Source organism: Homo sapiens, chromosome 10 (assembly GCF_000001405.40).
Source record: "Homo sapiens chromosome 10, GRCh38.p14 Primary Assembly".
NCBI classification, from domain to species: Eukaryota; Metazoa; Chordata; class Mammalia; order Primates; family Hominidae; genus Homo; species Homo sapiens.
The window spans coordinates 133,315,870-133,338,315 of NC_000010.11; the positions used below are offsets into that span (position 1 = coordinate 133,315,870).

General features: G+C 57.4%; 2 protein-coding genes across 3 annotated transcripts in view, besides 4 other annotated features; one reads left to right on the forward strand and one right to left on the reverse strand.

Moving 5' to 3' along the window:
• The window catches only part of ZNF511-PRAP1 (ZNF511-PRAP1 readthrough), a 43,770-nt gene that overhangs the window by 6,956 nt on the left and 14,368 nt on the right, over positions 1-22,446 (forward strand). The window lies entirely within an intron of this gene.
• Positions 2,673-2,902: an enhancer, noted in NCBI's record as "active region_4245". NCBI's record gives its function as "activates an Ori minimal core promoter by ATAC-STARR-seq in GM12878 lymphoblastoid cells {active_cell/tissue: GM12878}" and the evidence as "EXISTENCE:reporter gene assay evidence [ECO:0000049][PMID:35858748]".
• CALY (calcyon neuron specific vesicular protein) lies at positions 8,203-21,027 on the reverse strand. 2 transcript variants are annotated; one of them, NM_015722.4, is made up of 6 exons: positions 20,965-21,027; positions 12,986-13,140; positions 12,036-12,146; positions 11,009-11,122; positions 9,930-10,251; positions 8,203-9,697 (listed from the first exon to the last, which is right to left on the reverse strand). In NM_015722.4, exons 2-5 carry the CDS (start codon positions 13,118-13,120, stop codon positions 9,958-9,960), a joined length of 654 nt encoding a protein of 217 aa, NP_056537.1. In that variant the 5' UTR covers positions 13,121-13,140; positions 20,965-21,027; the 3' UTR covers positions 8,203-9,697; positions 9,930-9,957. The 2 variants fall into 2 exon arrangements, with proteins under 2 accessions (NP_056537.1, NP_001308546.1); NM_001321617.2 differs by having other exon boundaries at positions 9,930-10,411.
• Positions 8,694-8,743: a silencer, noted in NCBI's record as "silent region_2974". NCBI's record gives its function as "represses an Ori minimal core promoter by ATAC-STARR-seq in GM12878 lymphoblastoid cells {active_cell/tissue: GM12878}" and the evidence as "EXISTENCE:reporter gene assay evidence [ECO:0000049][PMID:35858748]".
• Positions 14,277-14,356: an enhancer, noted in NCBI's record as "active region_4246". NCBI's record gives its function as "activates an Ori minimal core promoter by ATAC-STARR-seq in GM12878 lymphoblastoid cells {active_cell/tissue: GM12878}" and the evidence as "EXISTENCE:reporter gene assay evidence [ECO:0000049][PMID:35858748]".
• Positions 19,282-19,957: an enhancer, noted in NCBI's record as "H3K27ac-H3K4me1 hESC enhancer chr10:135148655-135149330 (GRCh37/hg19 assembly coordinates)". NCBI's record gives its function as "activates a minimal SCP1, AML or CMV promoter by ChIP-STARR-seq in naive H9 embryonic stem cells {active_cell/tissue: H9 hESC(naive)}" and the evidence as "EXISTENCE:reporter gene assay evidence [ECO:0000049][PMID:30033119]".

Sequence of the window (22,446 nt, forward strand, 5' to 3'; positions counted from 1 at the left end):
TGGACTTCCTGGGTCGAGTGGGGACTTGGAGAACTTTTGTGTAGCTAGCTAGAGGTTTGTAAAATGCACCAATCAGGGCTCTGTAAAAATGCACCAATCAATGCTCTGTAGCTAGCTAGAAGTGTTTAAAATGGGCCAATCAGCACACTGTAAAATGGACCAATCAACACCCTGTAAAATGGACCAGTCAGCGGGACATGGGCAGGGACAAATAAGGGAATAAAAGCTGCCCCTTCCAACACACACACACAACCCCCTCCGCCACCCAGCCAGCAGTGGTGACCCTCTGCTGTTCACAATAACTTTTGCTGCTGCTCACTCTTTGGGTCCATGCCATCTTTAAGAGCTGTAACACTCACCACGAAGATCCGCAGTTCCATTCTTGAAGTCAGCAAGACCACGAACCCACTGGAAGGAACCAACTCCCGACACACCTGGAAGTGGCTTCCAGGTTGCAGCTGTCAAGAGGACTCAGACAAGGCACAGGATGGAACAACTGCACTCCCCAGACACAGAGACGGAAAGGCCACACACCCCCAAGACATAGAGATGGAAAGGCCACACACCCCGAAGACATAGAGATGGAAAGGCCACACCCCCCTCCCTGGACACAGAGATGGAAAGGTCGCACCCCCCTACCAAACACAGAATGGAACAGCCACACCCCCGCTTAGGACACAGAGATAGGAAGGCCGCACCACCCCTCCCCCCGACCTGGACACAGAGATGGAAAGACCACACTCCCCAAGACACAGAGATGGAAAGACCATACCCCCCCAGGACACAGCGATGGAAAGACCACCCCCCCCCCCCCCCCCCCCACACACACACACACACACAAACAGATGGAAAGACTGCACCCTGCCACAGGACACAGAGATGGAAAGACCACACCCACCCCCCAGACACAGAGATGGAAAGACCACCCCCGCAAGACACAGAGATGGAAAGACCGCACCCCCCCAGACAGAGAGATGGAAAGACCACACCCCCCACAACAGGACACAGAGATGGAAAGACCACACCCACCCCAGACAAAGAGATGGAAAGACTGCACCCCCCACCAACACAGAGATGGAAAGACTGTATCCCCAAACACAGAGATGGAAAGACCGCACCCCCCCTCCCCCAGGACACAGAGATGGAAAGACCACACCCCCTCCAGACGCAGAGATGGAAAGACCACACCCCCCCCAGACGCAGAGATGGAAAAACCGCACCCCGCCACACACAGAGATGGAAAGACTGCACCCCCCCTTCCCAAGGACACAGAGATGGAAAGACCGCACCCCACCCCAGACACACAGATGGAAAGGCCTCACCCCCCCAGGACACAGAGATGGAAAGACCACACCCTCCCTCCCCCAGGACACAGAGATGGAAAGGCCGCACCGCCCCCAGGACACAGAGATGGGAAGACCACACCCCCCCCCAGACACACAGATGGAAAGGCCTCACCCCCCCAGGACACAGAGATGGAAAGACCACACCCCCCCTCCCCCAGGACACAGAGATGGAAAGACCACACCCCCCCAGGACACAGAGATGGAAAGACCACACACCCCCTCCCCCAGGACACAGAGATGGAAAGACCACAACCCCCATCCCCCAGGACACAGAGATGGAAAGACCACACCCCCCACACACACAGAGATGGAAAGACCACACCCCCCCCAGACACAGAGATGGAAAGACCACACACCCCCCCCAGACACAGAGATGGAAAGACCACACCTCCCCCCCAGACACAGAGATGGAAAGACCACACCCCCCCCCCCCAGACACAGAGATGGAAAGACCACACCCCCCCCCCCAGACACAGAGATGGAAAGACCACACCCCCCCCCCCAGACACAGAGATGGAAAGACCACACACCCCGCCCAGACACAGAGATGGAAAGACCACACACCCCCAGACACAGAGATGGAAAGACCACACACCCCCCCCCCCCCAGACACAGAGATGGAAAGACCACACCTCCCCCCCAGACACAGAGATGGAAAGACCACACCCCCCCCCCAGACACAGAGATGGAAAGACCACACCCCCCCCAGACACAGAGATGGAAAGACCACACCCCCCCCCAGACACAGAGATGGAAAGACCACACCTCCCCCCCAGACACAGAGATGGAAAGACCACACCCCCCCCCCCAGACACAGAGATGGAAAGACCACACCCCCCCCCAGACACAGAGATGGAAAGACCACACCCCCCCCCAGACACAGAGATGGAAAGACCACACACCCCGCCCAGACACAGAGATGGAAAGACCACACCCCCCCCAGACACAGAGATGGAAAGACCACACACCCCCAGACACAGAGATGGAAAGACCACACACCCCCCCCAGACACAGAGATGGAAAGACCACACACCCCCAGACACAGAGATGGAAAGACCACACCCCCCCCCCAGACACAGAGATGGAAAGACCACACCTCCCCCCCAGACACAGAGATGGAAAGACCACACCCCCCCCCCCAGACACAGAGATGGAAAGACCACACCCCCCCCCAGACACAGAGATGGAAAGACCACACCCCACCCCCCGAGGACACAGAGATGGAAAGACTACACCTGCCCCCCAGACACAGAGATGGAAAGACCACACCCCCCACCCCCCTCCCCCCGGACGCAGAGATGGAAAGATGGCCGCATCCCCGGGAACACGCACAGGTGGAGAGGCCAGGGCCCAGCTGTGCATGGACGACTCCGAGCTGAAGTGCAGCCGTGGGTGCCAGTGCCGGTCTCCGTCCTCCTTCACAGGAAACACGGAGGCCGGGGCCGCCAACCCCGGTCCCTTCATCCTCTGGCCCCTTCGCCCGCTCCTCACACGGACGGGCTGTGCCTGTGTCTGCTCCACTGGCAGCCGGTCGATACCCCCGGGCGTGCGGAGATGAAGACCTCAGGCGACCGACCGCCGTCCTCCCCTTTCCCCGCGGCCCAGGTCGGCGTGTCTGGCTGCAGCGCCACCTCCTGGAGGCGTCAGCACCCTTCTCCGCTGGGTGTCAGTTCGGACACTGTGGAGGGACGCGCTTGGAGGATGTGGGCGGCCCCGCGCGGAGCGGTGCAGAGTCGGCGGTTGTGGTGGTCCTGGCCCAGCATCCAGGCCTCGCATTGCCAGGGGCAGGCGGCTGGGAGCCTGTGGGAGGAGGTGTGGGAGCAGGGCAGGGGTCCCCAGAGATCCTCCCGGTTCCAGCCACCCTGCGCGAAGGTAAGGCCTCTGCCGCGGGCCTCAGTTTACCCATCTGTAGATGAGCAGGTGACGGGTGAGCTCCAAGAATTAGCCAGATTTGAAGCCCAGTGCTGGGAACACGGTGGACACATTCCTTGACTCCTACTGTCCCCCTTGCCCCTCTCTGCCTCTCATGCTCATACACGTGCACACTCAGATGATCCACTCCCCCTCCTCTCTGTATGTGCGTCCCTGCTCACACACGCTCACACTCACACAATCCACGCCCCTCCTCTCTGTGCATCTGTGCTCACACTCACACGCTCACACACACAATCCATGCACCTCCTCTATGTGCGTCCATACGCTCACACTAACACACACACAATCCACACCCCTTCTCTTTGTATATGCATCTGTGCTCACACTCACACACTCATACGCTCACACACACACAATCCACACCCCCTCCTCTCTGTGCGTCCGTGCTCACATACTCACATGCTCACACTAACACATGCTAACACACAATGCACACCCCCTCCTGTCTGTGTGTCCGTGTTCACACGCTCACACACGTCATCCACACTCCCTCCTCTCAGTACGTCTGTGCTCATACCCTCACACACTCACACTAACACACGCACTCTCACACACACAATCCATGCCCCCTCCTCTCTGTACGTGCGTCCATGCTCGCACACAGGGAAGCCAGAGGCCCTTCCACCCCCATCCTGTTGGCTCTCACGTGGGCTGTGTGGATCTGGAAACCTAAATTCCTGATTTTGATCATTGCATGAAGGTTCCGTAAGAAGACGCCCTTGTTTGCAGGGAATCCACACTCAAGTATATACGGATAAAGAGGTCACTTCCTCTGAATGCAAGGAGTTGCCAGGCCGGGTGGGGAGGGTGGGACTTACGGCAGCTCCAGGAGCCCCTGGGCCCTTCTCATCTCCCATCTGGCTCCAGGGGAATGGGAGATGCCCGTCCCTGGGGCAGAGCTCACCCCTCCTCAGGCCCCACCCCCCACTCCCCACTCAGATGCCCCATTCACTCATTGGCTCAGAAAAAAAGGTAGTAGGTAGCAGCTAAAGAGACGACAGATTATTGATAGATGATAGACAATAGACGATAGGTGATAGATGATAGATAATAGATAATAGACAATAGATAGTAGGTGATAGATAGTGGACGATAGGTGATAGATAATAGATAATAGACAATAGACATTAGGTGATAGTAGACGATAGGTGATAGATGATAGATAACAGTAGGTGATAAATAATAGACGATAGGTGATAGATGATAGAGGATAATAGGTGATAATAGGCGATAGACAATAGATGATAGATTATAGACAATAGGTGATCGATGATAGATAATAGGCCATAGACAATAGGTGACAGATGATTGATAGGCTGGTAGGTAGATAGACGAGGTGGTGGAATGTGATAGAGCAGATGGGATGGAATGCCAACTGCTAGAGTTTGGATGTTAACATTTGATCCCCAATGTTCGAGGTGGGGCCTGATGGGAGGTGTTTGGGTCATGGGGCAGATCATGAATGGCTTGGTGCCACCCTCAAGGTAATGAGTGAGTTCTTGCTTGATTACTTCCTGTGAGGAATTTTTTTTTTTTTTTTTGAGTTTCACTCTGTCGCCCAGGCTGGAGTGCAGTGGCACAATCTTGGCTCACTGGAAGCTTCGCCTCCCGGGTTCACACTATTCTCCTGCCTCAGCCTCCTGAGTAGCTGGGACTACAGGCACCCACCACCACACCCCACTAATTTTTTGTATTTTTAGTAGAGACGGTGTGTAGTGTGTCTGGAGTTGGTTCCTTCTGGTGGGTTCATGGTCTCACTGACTTCAAGAATGAAGCTGCGGACCTTTGTGGTGAGTGTTACAGCTCAAATGTGGCATGGACCCAAAGTGTGTGCAGCTGCAAGATTTATTGTGAAGTGTGAAAGAACAAAGCTTCCCCACTGCGGAAGGGGACCCAAGCGGGTTGCCGCTGCCGGCTGGGGGTGGGGAGGCAGTGGTGGCCAGCTTTTATTCCCTTGTTTGTCCCTGCCCATGTCCTGCTGATTGGTCCATTTTACAGAGTGCTGATTGGTCCATTTTACAGAGCACTGATTGGTGCATTTTACAAACCTCTGGCTAGTGACAGAGTGCTGATTGGTGCATTTTTACAGAGCACTGATTGGTGCATTTTACAAACCTCTAGCTGGCTATAGAGTGCTGATTGGTGCATTTTTACAGAGCACTGATTGGTGCATTTTACAAACCTCTAGCTAGCTACAGAGTGCTGATTGGTGCATTTTACAATCCTCTTGTAAGACAGAAAAGTTCTCCAAGTCCCCACTCAACCCAGGAAGTGCAGCTGGCTTCATCTCTCAACGGAGTTTCACCCTATTAGCCAGGATGATCTTGGTCGCCTGACCTTGTGATCCGCCCATCTTGGCCTCCCAAAGTGCTGGGATTACAGGCATGAGCCACCGCACCTGGCCCGAGAATGGATTTTTTTTTTTGACGGAGTCTTGCTCTGTCACCCAGGCTGGAGTACAGCCACGCGATCTCAGCTCACTGCAAGCTCTGCCTCCCAGGTTCATGCCATTCTCCTGCCTCAGCCTCCTGAGTAGCTGGGACTATAGGCACCCGCCACCACGCCCAGCTAATTTTTTGTATTTTTTTTTTTAGTAGAGACGGGGTTTCACTGTGTTAGCCAGGATGGTCTCGATCTCCTGACCTTGTGATCTGTGGGTGAAGGATTACCCAGGTGCCGAGGCAAGAGACTGAAGGCACAAACTGTAGCAGTATAATAAAGAAAATAGTTAGAATAAAGAATAGTTATAATACAAATTAGATATAGAGATGATCATGGACATTATCAATCATTAGTATAAACATTATTAATCATTAGCTCTTAATATTACTCTTTGTTGTGTTACTAATATAACCAAGAAATAACTGGCGGGTATAGGGTCAGGTGCTGAAGGCACATTGTGAGAAGAGACCTAGAAGGCAAGAGGTGAGCCTTCTGTCACACCTGCATAAGGGCCGCTTGAGGGCTCCTTGGTCAAGCAGTAACGCCAGTGTCTGGGAAGGCAACCATTACTTAGCAGACCATGAAAGGGAGTCTCCTTTCCTTGGAGGAGTCAGGGAACACTGCTCCACCAGCTTCTTGTGAGAGGCTGGATATTCTCCAGGCCTGCCCACAGTCATCCGGAGGCCTAACCCCCTCCCTGTGGTGCTTCAACGATCACACTCCTTGTCCACTTTCATGCTCCTCCCGTACTCCTGGTTCCTCTTTGAAGTTCGTAGCAGATAGTGGAAGAAGAAATAGTGAAAGTCTTAAAGTCTTTGATCTTTCTTGTAAGTGCATAGAAGAAAACACTGACATTTGCTGCCTTCCCTCTCTGCTTCGGCTACCTAAGAGGGAAGGGCCCCCTGTCCCATGATCACGTGACTTGCTTCACCTTGTCAATCACTTAGAGGATTCACCGTCCTCACCCTGCCCCCTTATCCTGTATGCAATAAATATCAGTGCGCCCAGCCATTCGGGGCCACTACCGGTCTCCGCCTCTTGATGGTATTGGTCCCCCAGGCCCAGCTGTTTTCTCTTTATCTCTTTGTCTTGTGTCTTTATTTCTTACAATCTCTCGTCTCCGCACATGGGGAGAACACCTGCTAAGCCCCTTAGGACTGGACCCTACAGTGATCTGCCCACCTTGGCCTCCCAAAGTGCTGGGATGACAGGCGTGAGCCATTGCGCCCAGCCGAGAATTGATTGTTAAAGAGTCTGGTATGGCCAGGTGCAATGGCTCACACCTGTCATCCCAGCACTTTGGGAGGCCAAGGCAGGTGGATCACTTGAGTTCAAGACCAGCCTGGGCAACGTTTCAAAACCCTGTCTCTACAAAAGAGATGATATGGTCAATGTCTGTAACCCCAGCTACTCAGGAGGCTGAGATGGGAGGATCACTTGAGCCCAAGAGGTGGAGGCTGCAGCAAGCTGTGATTGTGCCACTGCACTCCAGCCTGGGCAACAGAGCATACCCTGTCTCAAAAAAAGAAAAAGAACCTAGCACCTCCCTCCATCCTTCTCCTGCTTCCTCTCTGGCCCTGTGGTCTCTGCACACCAGGCCTGCTTCCCCATCCAGCATACGTGGACACAGCCTGAGGCCCCACCAAAAGCAGATGCTGATGCTGTGCTTCTTGTACAGCCTCCAGAACTGTGAGCCAAATAAACCTCCTTTTTTTTACAGCAACACTAAAGGGATTAGGGCATCAGCCACTGGGCAATCTCAGTAAAGGGTGCATGGGAGTTCTTTACATGATCACAGTTGTTCTCCAAATTTGAAATTATCTCGAAATGTTAAAAAAAAAAATACAGACTGGGCGTGGTGGCTCACGCCTGTAATCCCAGTACTTTGGGAGGCTGACGTGGATGGATCATGAAGTCAGGAGATTGAGACCATCCTGGCTATCATGGTGAAACCCCATCTCTACTAAAAATACAAAAACTTAGCTGGGCGCGATGGCGGGCGCCTGTAGTCCCAGCTACTCAGGAGGCTGAGGCAGGAGAATGGTGTGAACTCGGGAGGCGGAGCTTGCAGTGAGCCGAGACCGTGCCACTGCACTCCAGCCTGGGTGACAGAGCGAGACTCCATCTCAAAAAAATAATAATAATAAGGCCGGGCGCGGTGGCTCACATCTGTAATCCCAGCACTTTGGGAGGCCGACGCGGGCGGATCACGAGATCAGGAGATTGAGATCATCCTTGCTAACGCAGTGAAACCCCGTCTCTACTAAAAATACAAAAAATTAGCTGGGCGTAGTGGCGGGCGCCTGTAGTCCCAGATACTCAGGAAGCTGAGGCAGGAGAATGGTGGGAACCCGGGAGGCGGAGCTTGCAGTGACCTGAGACCGCGCCACTGCGCTCCAGCCCGGGCGACAGAGCTAGACTCCCTCTCAAAATAATAATAATAATAATAATAATAATAATAATAATAATAATAATAAAATACAGGGGAAAGCTGTATTTTAATTCAAACATCGGCCATGCAGAGACTCCCTGCCCCCATATATCCCAGCTGACGCCCCAGGCCCCGGGCCCCCCTCCCTTGCAGGCCATCAGGGCCAATTCAGTTCTGCGTGTGCTTGTTCATCTGGCCAATGCCCTTAGAAGCCCAGCAGTGAAGGGTGTGGTGTGCATGGCCCTGCCTTCCCTGACCCCACCTGGCTGGCTTCCAGCTCACCATGGCTTCCCTGGCAGGCCCAGTTCACAGGCTTCCTGGGCACTGCCGCTGTTCCAAAGCAGGCCAGTCCCACTGAGCTGGGAAGCTGCCTAGACCCGCACCTAGCCAGCAAGCCTGGGAGCCAATGGTGGGGGGCTTCCATCCACCAATGGTCGGGGGCTGGGGTGGGCGGGGCTGCAGAGCCGCTGCTGGCTGGGGTGGGCGGGGCTGCAGTGCTGCAATTGGCTGGGGTGGGCGGGGCTGCAGTGCTGCAATTGGCTGGGGTGGGCGGGGCTGCAGAGCTGCTGCTGGCTGGGGTGGGCGGGGCTGCAGAGCTGCTGCTGGCTGGGGTGGGCGGGGCTGCAGAGCTGCTGCTGGCTGGGGTGGTGCAGGTGGTGGGTGAGATCTGCCGGAAGTCCATTCCCTGTAGTGTTCAGTGCCGGGAGTTGGCTGGGGCTGGGGTGGGGATGCTGGGGCTGGGGTGGGGATGCTGGGGCTGGGGTGGGGATGCTGGGGGAGACTCATGGCAGCTCCAGGCTCCCCTGGCGTTTCAGCCTCACCATCTTTCATCTGGCTCCAGGGACACGGGAGACCCCAGCCCCCAGGAACCAGAGCTCACCCCTCATCAGGCCCCACTCCCCACTCAGACGCCCCCATTCACTCCTTTCTTCACTTGGTCATTTATGCCTGTGGGCCACACATCTAGGAGGCAGGAGCTGCTCATGGGTGCCGCCCAGAACCAGGGGTCCCCCGGGAGGCAGACACTCCTGTCAGAGGGGGAACGCCCGGGGCCCAGGCCCAGCACCAGGTAGATGGGGGCGGGGGGTCGGGGAACCAGCAGGACAAGGGGCTGGGCAGCGGATAGGGATGGACCCGAGGCTCCCCTGGGTGGGCCGGAGCCCCGCCATTAAGGCACATCCCGGTGGGGCTTGGACAAGGCCCGGACCACGCAGCGCGAGGATGCGCGTGCTCCGCCTGGGCGCACCACGGCTTCCTGGGAGCTGCCCCCCACGGGGTCTCTCCTGGGTCCTTCGGGGGTCCCTGGGGGGAGCACAATGCCGGCCTCACTCACAACTGGCGGGGTGGGGGGCGGGAGAAAGGCCAGCCCGGCAGAGGACGCGCAGGAGAGATGGAAGCCTCCGGTGGACGTGAAATCTTTACTTAGAGAAAAGCGACAGAGTCAGAGACCCACGGGGGCGGGGCTGCAGCGAGGGCGCCTGGGGACACGAACACGGCGGAGAGCATCGGGAGACGCGCTGGTCACAGGAGCTGGCGGAGGACGCTGCGGAGACAGAGCCCGAGGGTTGAGAGCGGCGACGCGGCCAGGGGCTCCCCGCGGACCCCGCGTCACCCGGCGGGCTCGGATTCGCAACCCCCAACCCCGAGGTTCTGGCGGGCCGGGTCGGAGGGAAGAGGAAGGGAAGGGTGGCGGGGGTCTTTGGCTCAGAAGCGGTGGCGGGAGGCCAGGAAGAGACCTGGGCAGAGCCGGCCGGAGCCCCGCGGCGCGCACCTACCCCGGGCCGGGCTGCGGGGCTGGAGACGTCACTGCGCGGGCGGGGGCGCCGCGCTCCCGGCCGCCTTCCGCGCCGCCTCCTTCTCCGCCTTGGCCGACGGCTTCCCGGGGGGTTCGGTGGCCGCCGCCGCCGCCCCAGCCTGGGTGGGCCCCTTGCGCTCCTCCTTGGCTGCGCGGTAGCCGTCCCCCCAGGCCGCCGGCGTCTCCGTGCCGTGCTTGCGGCTCAGCGGGTAGGCCCCGATGGCCGCCAGGATGCTGCGGTGGCGCTCGGGGTCCATCTCCGTGTAGTACATCTCCAGGGTCAGCGGCGTGCAGATCTTGTGCTGCGGGAGGGGCCGGGTCAGGGTCGGTGGGGCTGAGCCCTCCTGTGCGCCCCGGGCCCAGGCCCTCCCGCTTCTGCGGTTGGGGACACTGCGGACAGTTTGTAATGGAGCCATGGCTTCAGGACACCGAAGATCAGCCTCCAGTTCAGAACTCAGGGCCCTGGAGGGGCATGGAGCAGGAGGTCGCGCGTTGTAAGGGGAGGGGCCACCCAGGGAGAGGGGCGCAGACACCAGTGGACCTGCCCAGCGCAGCAAGGACTCTGCGGAGCGCGCTCCAGAGCATAAACCATGGAGTTAAGGAGAAAAGGAGCAGATTTTACTTCTGATAAATAAAAGGCTTTCTAAAAACACACTAAAAGCTATAACCATTATTGACAAAGAGATTTAAAAAAAAAAAGGATGGAAGAAAATATCTGCCAAATAGGTGGGGAGCATTAATATCATGTTATATAAAAATAAAACCTCACACAAGTCACTCAGGAGGACAGATGACCCCTAGAGAGGTGGCTGCAGGGTGACCTTTTCTGCCTCATCTTTTTACTTATTTTTTAAATTACAAGAAGAGAAACCCATCACTAACTCATCTTTTCTTTTAAATTTTCAAAAGATACGATCTCATGTTCTAGAGAAGTAACAGGAACATGGCTTTGGAGACCACGTTCCCCCAGCAGCAGGAGACACCCCTGCCACCCCCTGCCTGGAGGCTACGGGAGGAGGGGCGGCTCTACACCCCCCACCAGAGCCCTGGCCCCCTTACCCGCAGCAGGAAGCCGTCGGGGCAGGTGAACTGGTCGTACCAGATGGCCTTGTACATGATCAGCACGCAGCCCAGTAGCGCCATGGCGAAGGCGATCATCCGTGCGGTGGGCAGCTGGCAGGAGGGCAGAGAGGGGCTCAGCCACGCCAGGCAGGGGCGGTCTTTGTGGGGAGCTCCTCAGGGGCTGGGCTGGCACAGGACCATCCCCGCCCTCCAGTCTTGATGCCCCACCCCCGCCCTGGGCAGCCAGTGGCTTTTCCAACTTTTCCGAGGGTCAAGTGTGCAGGCGTCACCCCTCGGGGCCAGGCCTTGCTGGTGGCCCCTCCACTGGGGTTCTGGAAACATCTGCCACCAGGTAAAGTGATGTGGCCTTTGACCCAGGTGGGTCTTGCAGGAATTTGCAGTTTTCCTGCGGTGTGGGCTCCCAGGGGATGGGGCCGCAGCCTCAGGGGAGTCGGAGGCTGCACTCACCAGGCCTCCCAGGTGACTGCCCACAGTGGGTGCATGTGTGGTAACATGAGCTGCAGACTGGAACGTGAGGCCAGGGGCGGGGAGCCCTAGCAGATCTGTCTACTGGAGAATGGAAGGCTTTGGAAACAGTCCACTAAAAATGACTAAAGCTATCATTAGTAACATTGACAGATTTAAACAAGAGGATGAGAGAAGATATTTGCCAGATATACTGCAGAAAGGAAGTATTACATAGAAAGCCCGTAAGTCACTGAAGATGAGACAATGACCCACTGGGCAAACAAGCAAGCAGCACTCGCGGGCACTTCCCAGAAAGAAAAACATCTCAGGAGCGCCACTGTTTGGTCAGTCTGCACCTGCAGCCTCGGGAGGGGGCCTGGTGGGTGCAGGGCAGCCGGTGGGGCCAGCTCTGGGCGGGATGACTCACTGCCACCCTCTCCTCCCTGAGAGCAAGGGGACCCCAGACTGGCCTGGACGGAACCCAGGCACCCCCAGCTGCCTTCCACCTTCTCCTCCTGTCCTGAGTCCCCACAGTGGGTGGGGTGGGTGTGGTTACCCTGCGCCCTTCCTCTGGGTGGCTGCAGTTCAGCCTCTGGCCCTCCAGGTCAGGGAAATTCTGCTGGTCTGGGGAGGACAGCTGGTATTCTGTCTGTGTCTTGATGACCACCTGTGAAAAGAGATGGCCATGGCCTCAGTAGGCAGCTGGCAGGGACCCAAGAGAGCCCTGAACTGAGAGGGGAGGGAGCCAGCGTCAGCTTCGTGGCAGTGGTGTTGACGCTGACCCATCTCCCAGGACTGTCTGGTGGATGGCAGGGCTCCAGCAGCCACAAAGTGAGGCCAAGGGAAGGTGGACGCTGAAAGTCTGTCTGCTGGGCGCATGGCAGCTCTGGGCCTGGCTGGGCTGCTGACAGAGCCCCTCACTCTGCCTGCTGCCTTCAACTCAGGGTGCTGGAGAATTGCCCTTGGCCAGCAGGGGTGGTCCTCCTGCCCCGGGTCCCCAGCATAGATGCTGCCCCCACCTCCAGCAGGGACAACTCGGGGTGCCCTTCATGCTGCATGACTCCCTGGGGGGTCAAACTGGGCTGGGCTCAAGCTGAGCTCTTTGCTTCTCCCCAGTTTCTGCTATAAGCAACCCCAGTGGTCACTTGCCCAAGGACCCCCAGATCTCAGGCTAAACCCAGGACAGGGCCATGCCCCGAGGGGAAGGGTGGGAAGCGTTGCCTGCTGAGTGCCCTATGGACAGCACGTGGGCGGGGTGCTGTCTAGGAGTCAGTGCGTGAATTCTCGGTTACCCATCAGCCAGTTTGCCCAGCTCTGGCATATGGGGGAGCTGACCAGGAGGTCACACAGAGTGCCCATGGCCAGCTGGGGCTTTGGCCCCCATGGCCCTTCATCTGTTTGCTCTACTGCACCTGGGAAGAGGCCATATCTAGACAAACCTCACCCCACACCCCTTTGTTCCCAGGGGAGCCTGAGAAGGGCCCCCACGCTGGCCCAGGCCCTCACCTGGTCAGGGAGTGGCGGCTGGAGCTGGCTGATGTCCAAGGGGCTGATCAGAGGCACACTGTCCATGGCAGCCCCATCCTGGTCCCCAGGGTCTTTACCTGGCTTCCCAGAGAAGCTGCAGCCCAGCTTCACCATGGTGGATGGCAGTCCTTGTCCTGTCCAAAGACAGACAGAGTCACTGCCCACAGGCTGCCCCCTGGATGCCCACGCCAGCTGGCTCTGAAGCCAGAGGACCCTGAGCTGGGCCTAATGCTCCTCACACCAGAGCCAGGGACAGGCTGTAAGTGGTCAGGCCAGCCTCCTTGGACAAACCGGTCAAATCCAGCGAGATGCTGGGTGCTGTACCTTCTTGACCCCCACAGCCCCTCTGGACCCCACAGCACTGCAGGGTACAGCGCCCCAACCAGTGACTGTCCACGAAGCAGGGGGAGACTTCCAACGGCAGCTGCTCTAGACAACCTCCTCTTTTTTCTTCTTCTTCCACTGGTGGCTGCTCTAGACAACCTCCTCTTTCTTATTCTCCTTCTTCTTCTTCTTCTTTTTTTTTTTTGAGACAGGATCTTGTTTTGTGGCCCAGGTGGGAGTGCAGTGGTGTGTTCTTGGCTTACTGCAGCCTTTGCCTCCTGAGCTTCAGCAGTCCTACCATCTCAGCCTCCCGAGTACCTGGGACCACAGTGCGCCCCACCACGCCTGGCTAATTTTTAAAATTTGTGTAGAGACGGGGTTTCGTCAGGTTGCCCAGGCTGGTCTCAAGCGATCTGCTTGCCTAGGCCTCCTACAGTGCTGGAATTACAGGAATGAACCACCGCGCCTGACTCTAGACAACCTCCTAAAGCCGACAATCCCGGACATCAGTATGGAGAGCTGGGTGCCAGACTCAGCACATAAAAATGCTGGAGACCCAGCTAAATTTGAATTTCAAATAAGCAACGAGCTCATTTTTAATATAAGAGCATCCCACGCAATACGCGGTATGGGACGTGCTTATCCTGAAGTCAGTCCTCATTCTGTCTGGCGGCTCTCTGCCAGAGACGCACGAAGTGAGAAAGAGCGGCCACAAGAGGGCACCCGCGAGTCAGCCCAGCTGCGAGCCTGGCGCTAAAGGCCGCGGAGAGCGGGTCTCCTGCGGAGCTGAAAGCCACAGCAGGGCCCCGCGGGGCTGGGAGAGGGCGGGCCCCACTAACCCAGAGAAGCCGAGGGTGCCCGGCTTCGCCTTCAGGCGGACCTTCTAGAGAAAAGGAATGCAGCGGATGACCTCCGAGCTGATGGATGGAAAAAGCAGAAAAAGAAAATGTATTCAATCAATCAAAGGAGAAAAGAAAGGTCCTGTGTGCAGTAGACACGGAACCTGTGGCCCGGTGCTATGGCGGCGCCTGTGGTCCCAGCCACTCGGGAGGCTGAGGCGGGAGAATCGCTTGAACCCGGGAGGCGGAGGTTGCAATGAGCCGAGATCACGCCACTGCACTCCAGCCTAGGTGACAGAACGAAACTCTGCCAAAAAAAAAAAAAAAAAAAAAAAAAGGCAGGGCGCGGTGGCTCACGCCTGTAATCCCAGCACTTTGGGAGGCCGAGGCGGGCGGGTCACGAGGTCAGGAGATCGAGACCATTCTGGCTAACACGGTGAAACCCCGTCTCTACTAAAAAATACAAAAAATTAGCCGGGCGCGGTGGCGGGCGCCTGTAGTCCCAGCTACTTGGGAGGCTGAGGCAGGAGAATGGCGTGAACCTGGGAGGCGGAGCTTGCAGTGAGCCGAGATCGCGCCACCGCACTCCAGCCTGGGTGACAGAGAGAGACTCCGTCTCAAAAAAAAAAAAAAAAGGAATCTGTCATTACAACCTTCTCTCACAAAGAACTCCAGGCGCAGACAGCATCACCACAGCATTCTACCAACCATTTACAGGGAAAGTAATGCACGTCCACAAAACTCTTCCAGAAAGACAAGGGAGCACTCACCAGCTCCTGAGGCCAACGTAGCCTCAGTCCCTAACCCAGCAAGGACAGCAGCGGAGAGGAGCTCACAGGCCAGCCCCCGCCACACGTACACACCACTGCGAGGCCCCAAAGCTCAAGCAGCGTGAATCCAGCGAATACAACAAGGTAACATATCATGACAGTTTGGGTGTATTCTGGAAATGAAGTTTGGCTTAACATTTGACAAGCAATCATATTTTTCACCATATTAACAGAATAATGAAAAAGCGTTATCTGATCAATTGCTAGAGGAGCAGAAGTAACTCTGGGTAAGACTCAGGGCTCATTTACTATTCCTCGGACCCATTAGTGCATTAAGGCAGGAGGCGAGTGCTGTAACCCGGTAACAGTGAACCACTAAATCCCCACAGCAAACCTCACTGAATGTGAATCCTGAAAGTGCCTCGATCTGCGGTTCTACAAGTTATGGTGCTGGAGGTCTCAGCCAATGCTGTAGGGCAGGACAAAGAAAGAGCTCCAGTGCCAGACAAGAAAAAGTAAAACTCTGATTGATTCACCCATGAAACAGTGTCTGTGTTTAGAAACCCCAAAAGAATATATAGACAAATCATAAGGATCAAAAAGTGAGTTTGGCAAGGTTGTTGGATTTAAGGTATTCAGAAATCAGTTACATTCCTATATGTCAGTGGCAAAAATAAATAAATAAATAATTTATTGAAGTACTCAATTTAAATAATATCAAAACTATCAAATCCTCAGGAATAGGTGTAAAAAGAGCTGAGGAGCAGGGACAGGGCAGGGCCTTCACATGGAATCCAGGAAACACTGTCGACAGAGACCAAGAAAAGCTAAATTCCCCAAGTAAATGGGGAAGGCTGTGGCTATGGATTTTGGGAGTTTCTATGTTTAAACAAATTACCCACCCCCCAATCTGTAGATGCAGTAAATCTTAAGCAAAATCCCAACAGGGTTTTTAAAATGAACTTGACAAGCACTGTCATTTTATATGGAAGGCAGAGGGGCAGGAACACATCAAGTATCTTGGAAAAGAACATGGATTGCCAGGCACAGTGGCTCACGCCTGTAGTCCCAACACTTTGGGAGGCAGAAGTGGGTGGATCACAAGATCAGGAGTTTGAGACCAGCCTGGCCAACATGGTGAAACCCTGTCTCGACTAAAAATACAAAAACTAGCCGGGCATGGTGGTACACGCCTATAATCCCAGAATCTCGGGAGGCTGAGGCAGGAGAATCCCTTGAACCTGGGAGGCAGAGGTTGCAGCGAGCTGAGATTGCACTACCACACTCCAGCCTGGGCAACAAGAGCAAAACTCCGTCTGGGAAAAAAAAAAAAAAGAACATGGAGGAGGTCTCATCTGCCAGGGTCTAGCTTGTTGCACAGCATTGGAAATGGAGAGGTGTGGGGCTACTGCGTGGTGGAAAAAGTCCCACGTGACACACTTTGCACACACAGACCCTGATTTGCAGCATGGCTGCCTCTCAGTAAACCGCTGTCCACATCAAGAGCAATGAGCCTGATCCCTACCTCACATTACACAGAGAAGTCTACTCCAGGTGGATAAACCTAAACTGGAAAAGCAAAACAATAAAGCATCTCAAAGATAATACAGAAGAAGATTTTTCTGGTCTCAGGGAGGGAAATGTTTCTTCATTAGGACAATAGGTACTAACCATAAAAGGAAATATTGATAAAATGACTTCATTAAAACTATGAACTTCTGCTTATCAAAACAGCCTTCAAAAAATGGAAGCAGAAACCAAGACTGGGAGAAGACAGTTGCAACCCACAAATGATGAGGGTGCATTGTGGGTTGAATGATGTTCCCTCAAAAATACATCCAAGTCCTAGGATCTGAGTGAGGGGTGCCTTTGAATGGGATCTTATTTGAAAATAGGGTCTTTGCAGATGTAATCAAGCTAAAATAAACTCGTCCTGAATCAGCGTGGGCCTTGACCCAAAACTGGTATCGTTATTAAAACAGGGAAATTAGACATAGGAGAGTGTTATGTGTAGACGGAGCAGAGATTGGAACGATGCAGCTGAAACCCAAGGATTGCTTGGGCCACCAGAAGCTGGAGGAAGCAAGGAAAAAGCTCCCCTAGAGGCTTTGGAGGGAGCATGGCCCCGTGAACACCTTCATTTTGGACTTCTTGACTCCAGAACTGTGAAAGAATTTGTTATTTTAAGCCACCTGCTTGTAATTTGTGACAGCAGCGCGAGGATGTCCAATTAACTGCCAGAGCCAGCAGTGACCAGTCTTTCTCGCCCTGCAGTGGCCAGGCTCCGCTGTGGGTTCCAGGTGTGGGTAGGCACCACGGGAACAGGAGCAAGGGACCCGCGGTCACAGAGCTTCTGCCCAGCTGCTGCCACTCAAGTACAGATAATGTGGAGGCATCTGCGTGGAGGAGAATCTAAGGGTGGAAGGAGCTGAGGGTGGAATGATTGCAAGGTGGAAGGATCCGAGGGAGAAGGATTGAGGGGGTGGGGGGGGGGGAAGGATCCGAGGGGTGAGGGATCCAAGGACAGAGGGACCCAACGGGGAAGGATTGCGCGGGTGGGGGTGGGGTGGAGGGGAGGGATCCGAGCGGAGGGGTCCGAGGGTGGAACGATCTGAAGGGAAGGGACCCCAACGGGGTGCGGGGAGGGATCCGAAGGGGTAAGGATATGACGCGGGGGGAAGGATCCGACGCAGGGGGAGGGATCCGAGGGTGGAAGGATCTGAGGGGGGAAGAATCCGACTTGGGGAACGATCCAAGTGGGGTAGGATCCCAGGTGGGAAGGGTCGGAGAGCGGAGGTATCTGAGAGGGAGGGCTCTGAGGGGGAAAGATCTGAGAGTGGAAGGCTCTGAGGCGGAAAGATCTGAGAGTGGAAGGCTCTGAGGGGGAAAGAAAGATCTGAGAGTGGAAGGCTCTGAGGGGGAAAGATCTGAGAGTGGAAGGCTCTGAGGGGGGAAGGATCTGAGGGGGGAAGGCTCTGAGGGGGGAAGGATCTGAGGGGGGAAGGCTCTGAGGGGGGAAGGATCTGAGGGGGGAAGGCTCTGAGGGGGGAAGGATCTGAGGGGGGAAGGCTCTGAGGGGGGAAGGCTCTGAAGGGGAAGCTCTGAGGGGGGAAGGATCTGAGCGGGGAAGGCTCTGAGGGGGGAAGGCTCTGAAGGGGAGGCTCTGAGGGGGGAAGGACATGAGGGGGAAGGATCTGAAAGGCGAAGGATCTGAGGGGGGAAGGATCTGAGCGGGGAAGGCTCTGAGGGGGGAAGGCTCTGAGGGGGGAAGGACATGAGGGGGAAGGATCTGAGGGGCGAAGGATCTGAGGGGGGAAGGCTCTGAGGGGGGAAGGCTCTGAAGGGGAAGCTCTGAGGGGGGAAGGACATGAGGGGGAAGGATCTGAAAGGCGAAGGATCTGAGGGGGGAAGGATCTGAGCGGGGAAGGCTCTGAGGGGGGAAGGCTCTGAGGGGGGAAGGACATGAGGGGGAAGGATCTGAAAGGCGAAGGATCTGAGGGGGGAAGGATCTGAGCGGGGAAGGCTCTGAGGGGGGAAGGCTCTGAGGGGGGAAGGCTCTGAGGGGGGAAGGACATGAGGGGGAAGGATCTGAAAGGCGAAGGATCTGAGGGGGGAAGGATCTGAGCGGGGAAGGCTCTGAGGGGGGAAGACTCTGAAGGGGAGGCTCTGAAGGGGAAGGACATGAGGGGAAGGATCTGAGGGGCGAAGGATCTGAGCGGGGAAGGCTCTGAGGGGGGAAGGCTCTGAGGGGGAGGCTCTGAGGGGGAAGGACATGAGGGAGAAGGATCTGAGGGGCGAAGGATCTGAAGGGGGAAGGATCAGGGGAGGAAGGATTTGGAGGTGGCAGCTTCTGCGTGGGGAAAGAACTGAGGGGGAAGGATCTGCGTGGGCGAGAGTGCGGCCGGTGAACGAGGGCTGGGTAGGGGATGGGGGAGGCCACTCTGAGCCGGAAGGAGCTAGGCGAGGGGAGACAGGGCCCCCAGTCCTGGACCTGGCCACGCGCTTTGGGGCCCTAACCCGTGCCCCTCGTTGTTGTGTGTTCATCGCAGGCGACCCTGTGCCTGCCGGGCCTTTCTGGAAGAGGCCGTGCGGTGTCCCCCAGACCACCCACCCCGGGCTGAAGACTCTTCCTGAGGTGGGTTCCCACGTGGCCCGGGCAGGGGCAATGGGCACTCGGCGGGCGAGGTTTCACGGTGCAGCCAGCGTCCGTGTGTGTGCAGGCGGAGACGGACGAGGCGCCACGGGGCTCAGATACAGGAGCGATCGGTGGAAGCAGAGTCGGAGCAGCGGAGGGCCGAGAGGCCGGGGAATGACGTGGTTGTGGGGCGAGGGCAGCCAGCGCCGGGGCTTGAGGTGGAGCTTGGCCCGCGGGGGTGGGGGTGCCGCTGAGGAGGAGGGGTCGGGGGTCTCCCCGGAGCGGACGCCCAGAGCAAGCCCAGCCTCTCTACAGACGGGCGAGGGGGAGGCGGAGAAGGGGGCGCAGTCCCGCACCAGGGCCCGCAGCGCCATAGGGTAGGGCCACGCCCCGGAGGGCCCGCGCCAGGAGTCTCCGCCCGAACCCCCGCTCGGGCAGGACCCCCGCCAGGAGGAGCTGCGCTTGAGGGGTCCCCTTCGAGCCAAACTTCAAATCCAACTCCTCGGACGGCCAATTTACGTCATCGCGGGTTTCCATGGCAACGCAGACAGGCCCGAGACGCGTCTTCAGGAAGAAAAAGCCATTGGGGGCCCACTGGAGCCTCGCTTCTGGTTCCGGGCCCAGCGCCCCGGGCGGAATGCGGGGTTGGAAAGGGGGGACTAGCCTGTGTGTGGGGTCCAACCCCCCCACCCCACACACCAGACCTTCCCTTTGCATTGCTGCGTCATGGGGGCCTCCTCCCACGGATGACACGCGGCTCGTGGAACTGGGGGGCCGCCTCTGCTTCTCCTCCCGGCCCCTCCCTGCACCTGCGCTGTCGCGGCATCTTCTGCGGGTCCCCTGCGCCCCACCCGCCGCGCTCTGGCAGGGAGGCAGTGCCCGGCTCCTGTCTCTGGGGCGGGGAAGGCGTGGGATGCTGATGGCAGATGGGTGGGGGCGCGGGTGAGTGAGGCCGTGCAGATGGACAGATGGATGGCGGGGGCGGGGGTGCAGGCTCTCAGTCGAAAGTCCACGGAAGCTCGGCTGGAGGTCACGTCACAGACTCGCTTCCGCATGCGCCCCCCCCAACCATGGAATGCTGCGTCACGCTGGGGGGTGCGCGCAGGTGGGCTTGTGCGGGCCGGGCACCAGCGCGTGTGACTGCGGATCTGAGGGTCCCGCCCAGCCCCCGCGGGCGCCACCGCAGCCTCCCGCCCCTGGCGCTGCAGGGGGCTGTGGCTGCCCCGCTTATTAAAAGGCAGCTGCACTGCGGGGTCGGCGCAGCCCCTCGGAGGGGAGTGGGCGCGCAGCTGCTCCCGCTTCCAGCCCAGCCACCTGTGGCCCCGCACCCGAGCCTGCTGCAGGTGGTTCCGGAGCCGCGCCCCTCCCGGCCTCCTGGCCACCTCTTGCCTGTCACGCAGACGCCCCCATCAAGCCCACCGCCCACCCCCAACCCCCGTGCGGGCAGCGGCTCCTCGGTGCTCTGGTCCGACGCCCCTTCTGTCGCCCTCCCCACCCCGCCTCCGGCGGACAGAGCTGGGCGGGAGCTGGGACTGGTACCCCCTCCCCACCTCGGAGACACCCTTAACTCCAGGCTGCGATCCTCGTGCCGGGGCCCCGCCGTCACGGGAAGCCTGGAGACCACCGCCCTCGGGTCCGCGGGGTCGGACTGGCCTGGGGCAGCCAGAGGAGGCCCGAGGGAGGAGGGCGGCCGTGCAGCGCGCCCTGCACACTCGCACCCGCACACGCGCCTCGCACACACGCACTCACACCCTCATCCGCACGCGCGCCACGCACAAGCGCACTCGCGAGCACACGCACCTCGCACACACACCCGCACACGCGCCTCGCACCCCCGCACCCCTTCGGGCCCCCCGCCCACATTCTGCAAGAAATGTGGAAATAGCTCACAGGCGGCTCCACTGGCAGCTGCTGCAGGACGCGGTCGGGGAGGACGACGATGCGGATGTGGATGCGGAGGATGCGGTTCCAGACGCTTCGCGGCCGGGCGGGGCGGGGGCTGCAGCTGCGAGACCGAGGCTGTGGTCGCCATGGAAACGCGGCTAGAGGCGGGGCCTCGACTCTGGTCCCGCACCCTCTACCCCCACCCACCGCCCCGGCTAGGGAGCCGCGCATGCGCCCCTCAGACCCTGCTCGGGCCTCACCACACACCTCATACACACACCTGATGCACACACACCTGACACATCCCCAGAAACCACACCTCGAACACCAGACACATCCAAACACACACCTCACACACATCCCAGACACACACCTCACACAAACACCCCCCACACACACACCTCACAAACACCCCAAACACCTGACACACACACACCCCAGAATCACACATCTCGAACACCAGACACATCCAAACACACCCCAGACACACACACCCCAGACACACACCCAACACACACCCGACACACACACCACACACACCTCACACACACCCCAGACACACACACACCTGACACACCCGACACACCCCCAGAATCACACACCTCAAACACCACATTCAAACACACACCTCACACACACCCGACACACACCTGACACACACGTGACACACACACCTGACACACCCCCAGAAACATACACCTGACACACACCTCACACACACCCAACAACACATATACCTGATACACACCCCAGGCACACATTTGACACACACACCCCACACACCTGACACACATACCCCAGAAACACCTCAAACAACAGATACATCCAAACACACACCTCACACACACCTGACACACACACCCTAGTAATACACACATCAAATACCAGACATCCAAACACACATCTCACACACACCTCAGACACACACACAGCTGACACACACCTGACAGCCCCCAGAAACACACATTTCAAACACCAGACACATCCAGACACACACCTCACACACACCCCAGACACACACACACCTGAGACACACCCCACACACCTAACCCGCACCCCACACACCTGACCCACACCCCAGAAACACACATCTGACACACACCCCAGACACACACACCTGACACTCTCCCCAGAAACACCTCAAACACCAAATACATCTAAACACACAATTCACACACACCCCAGATATACCTCACACACACACCCCAGACATACCTCACACACACACACCTGACACCCCAGAAACACACCTCACACACCAGACACACCCACACATCTCACATACACGACACGCACCTGACACCCACCCCAGAAACACACATCTCACACACCAGACACCCAAACACACCTCACACACACCCCTGACACACACCCCACACCTGACACACACACCTGACCCACACCCCAGAAACACACACCTTAAACAGCAGAAACACCCAAACACACCCCCCCACACACCTGACACACCTGATGCCCATCTGACACATA

What these genes read in the sequence shown, in the direction of transcription:
- CALY (NM_015722.4), bottom strand. Translation starts at nt 13,120, where the DNA reads ATGGTGAAGCTGGGCTGCAGCTTCTCTGGGAAGCCAGGTAAAGACCCT. An exon ending in AGCCGCCACTCCCTGACCAG is followed by an intron (nt 12,147 to 12,985) that starts GTGAGGGCCTGG and finishes CTCTTTTCACAG; the next exon opens with GTGGTCATCAAGACACAGAC. An exon ending in ACCCAGAGGAAGGGCGCAGG is followed by an intron (nt 11,123 to 12,035) that starts GTAACCACACCC and finishes CCCTCCTGCCAG; the next exon opens with CTGCCCACCGCACGGATGAT.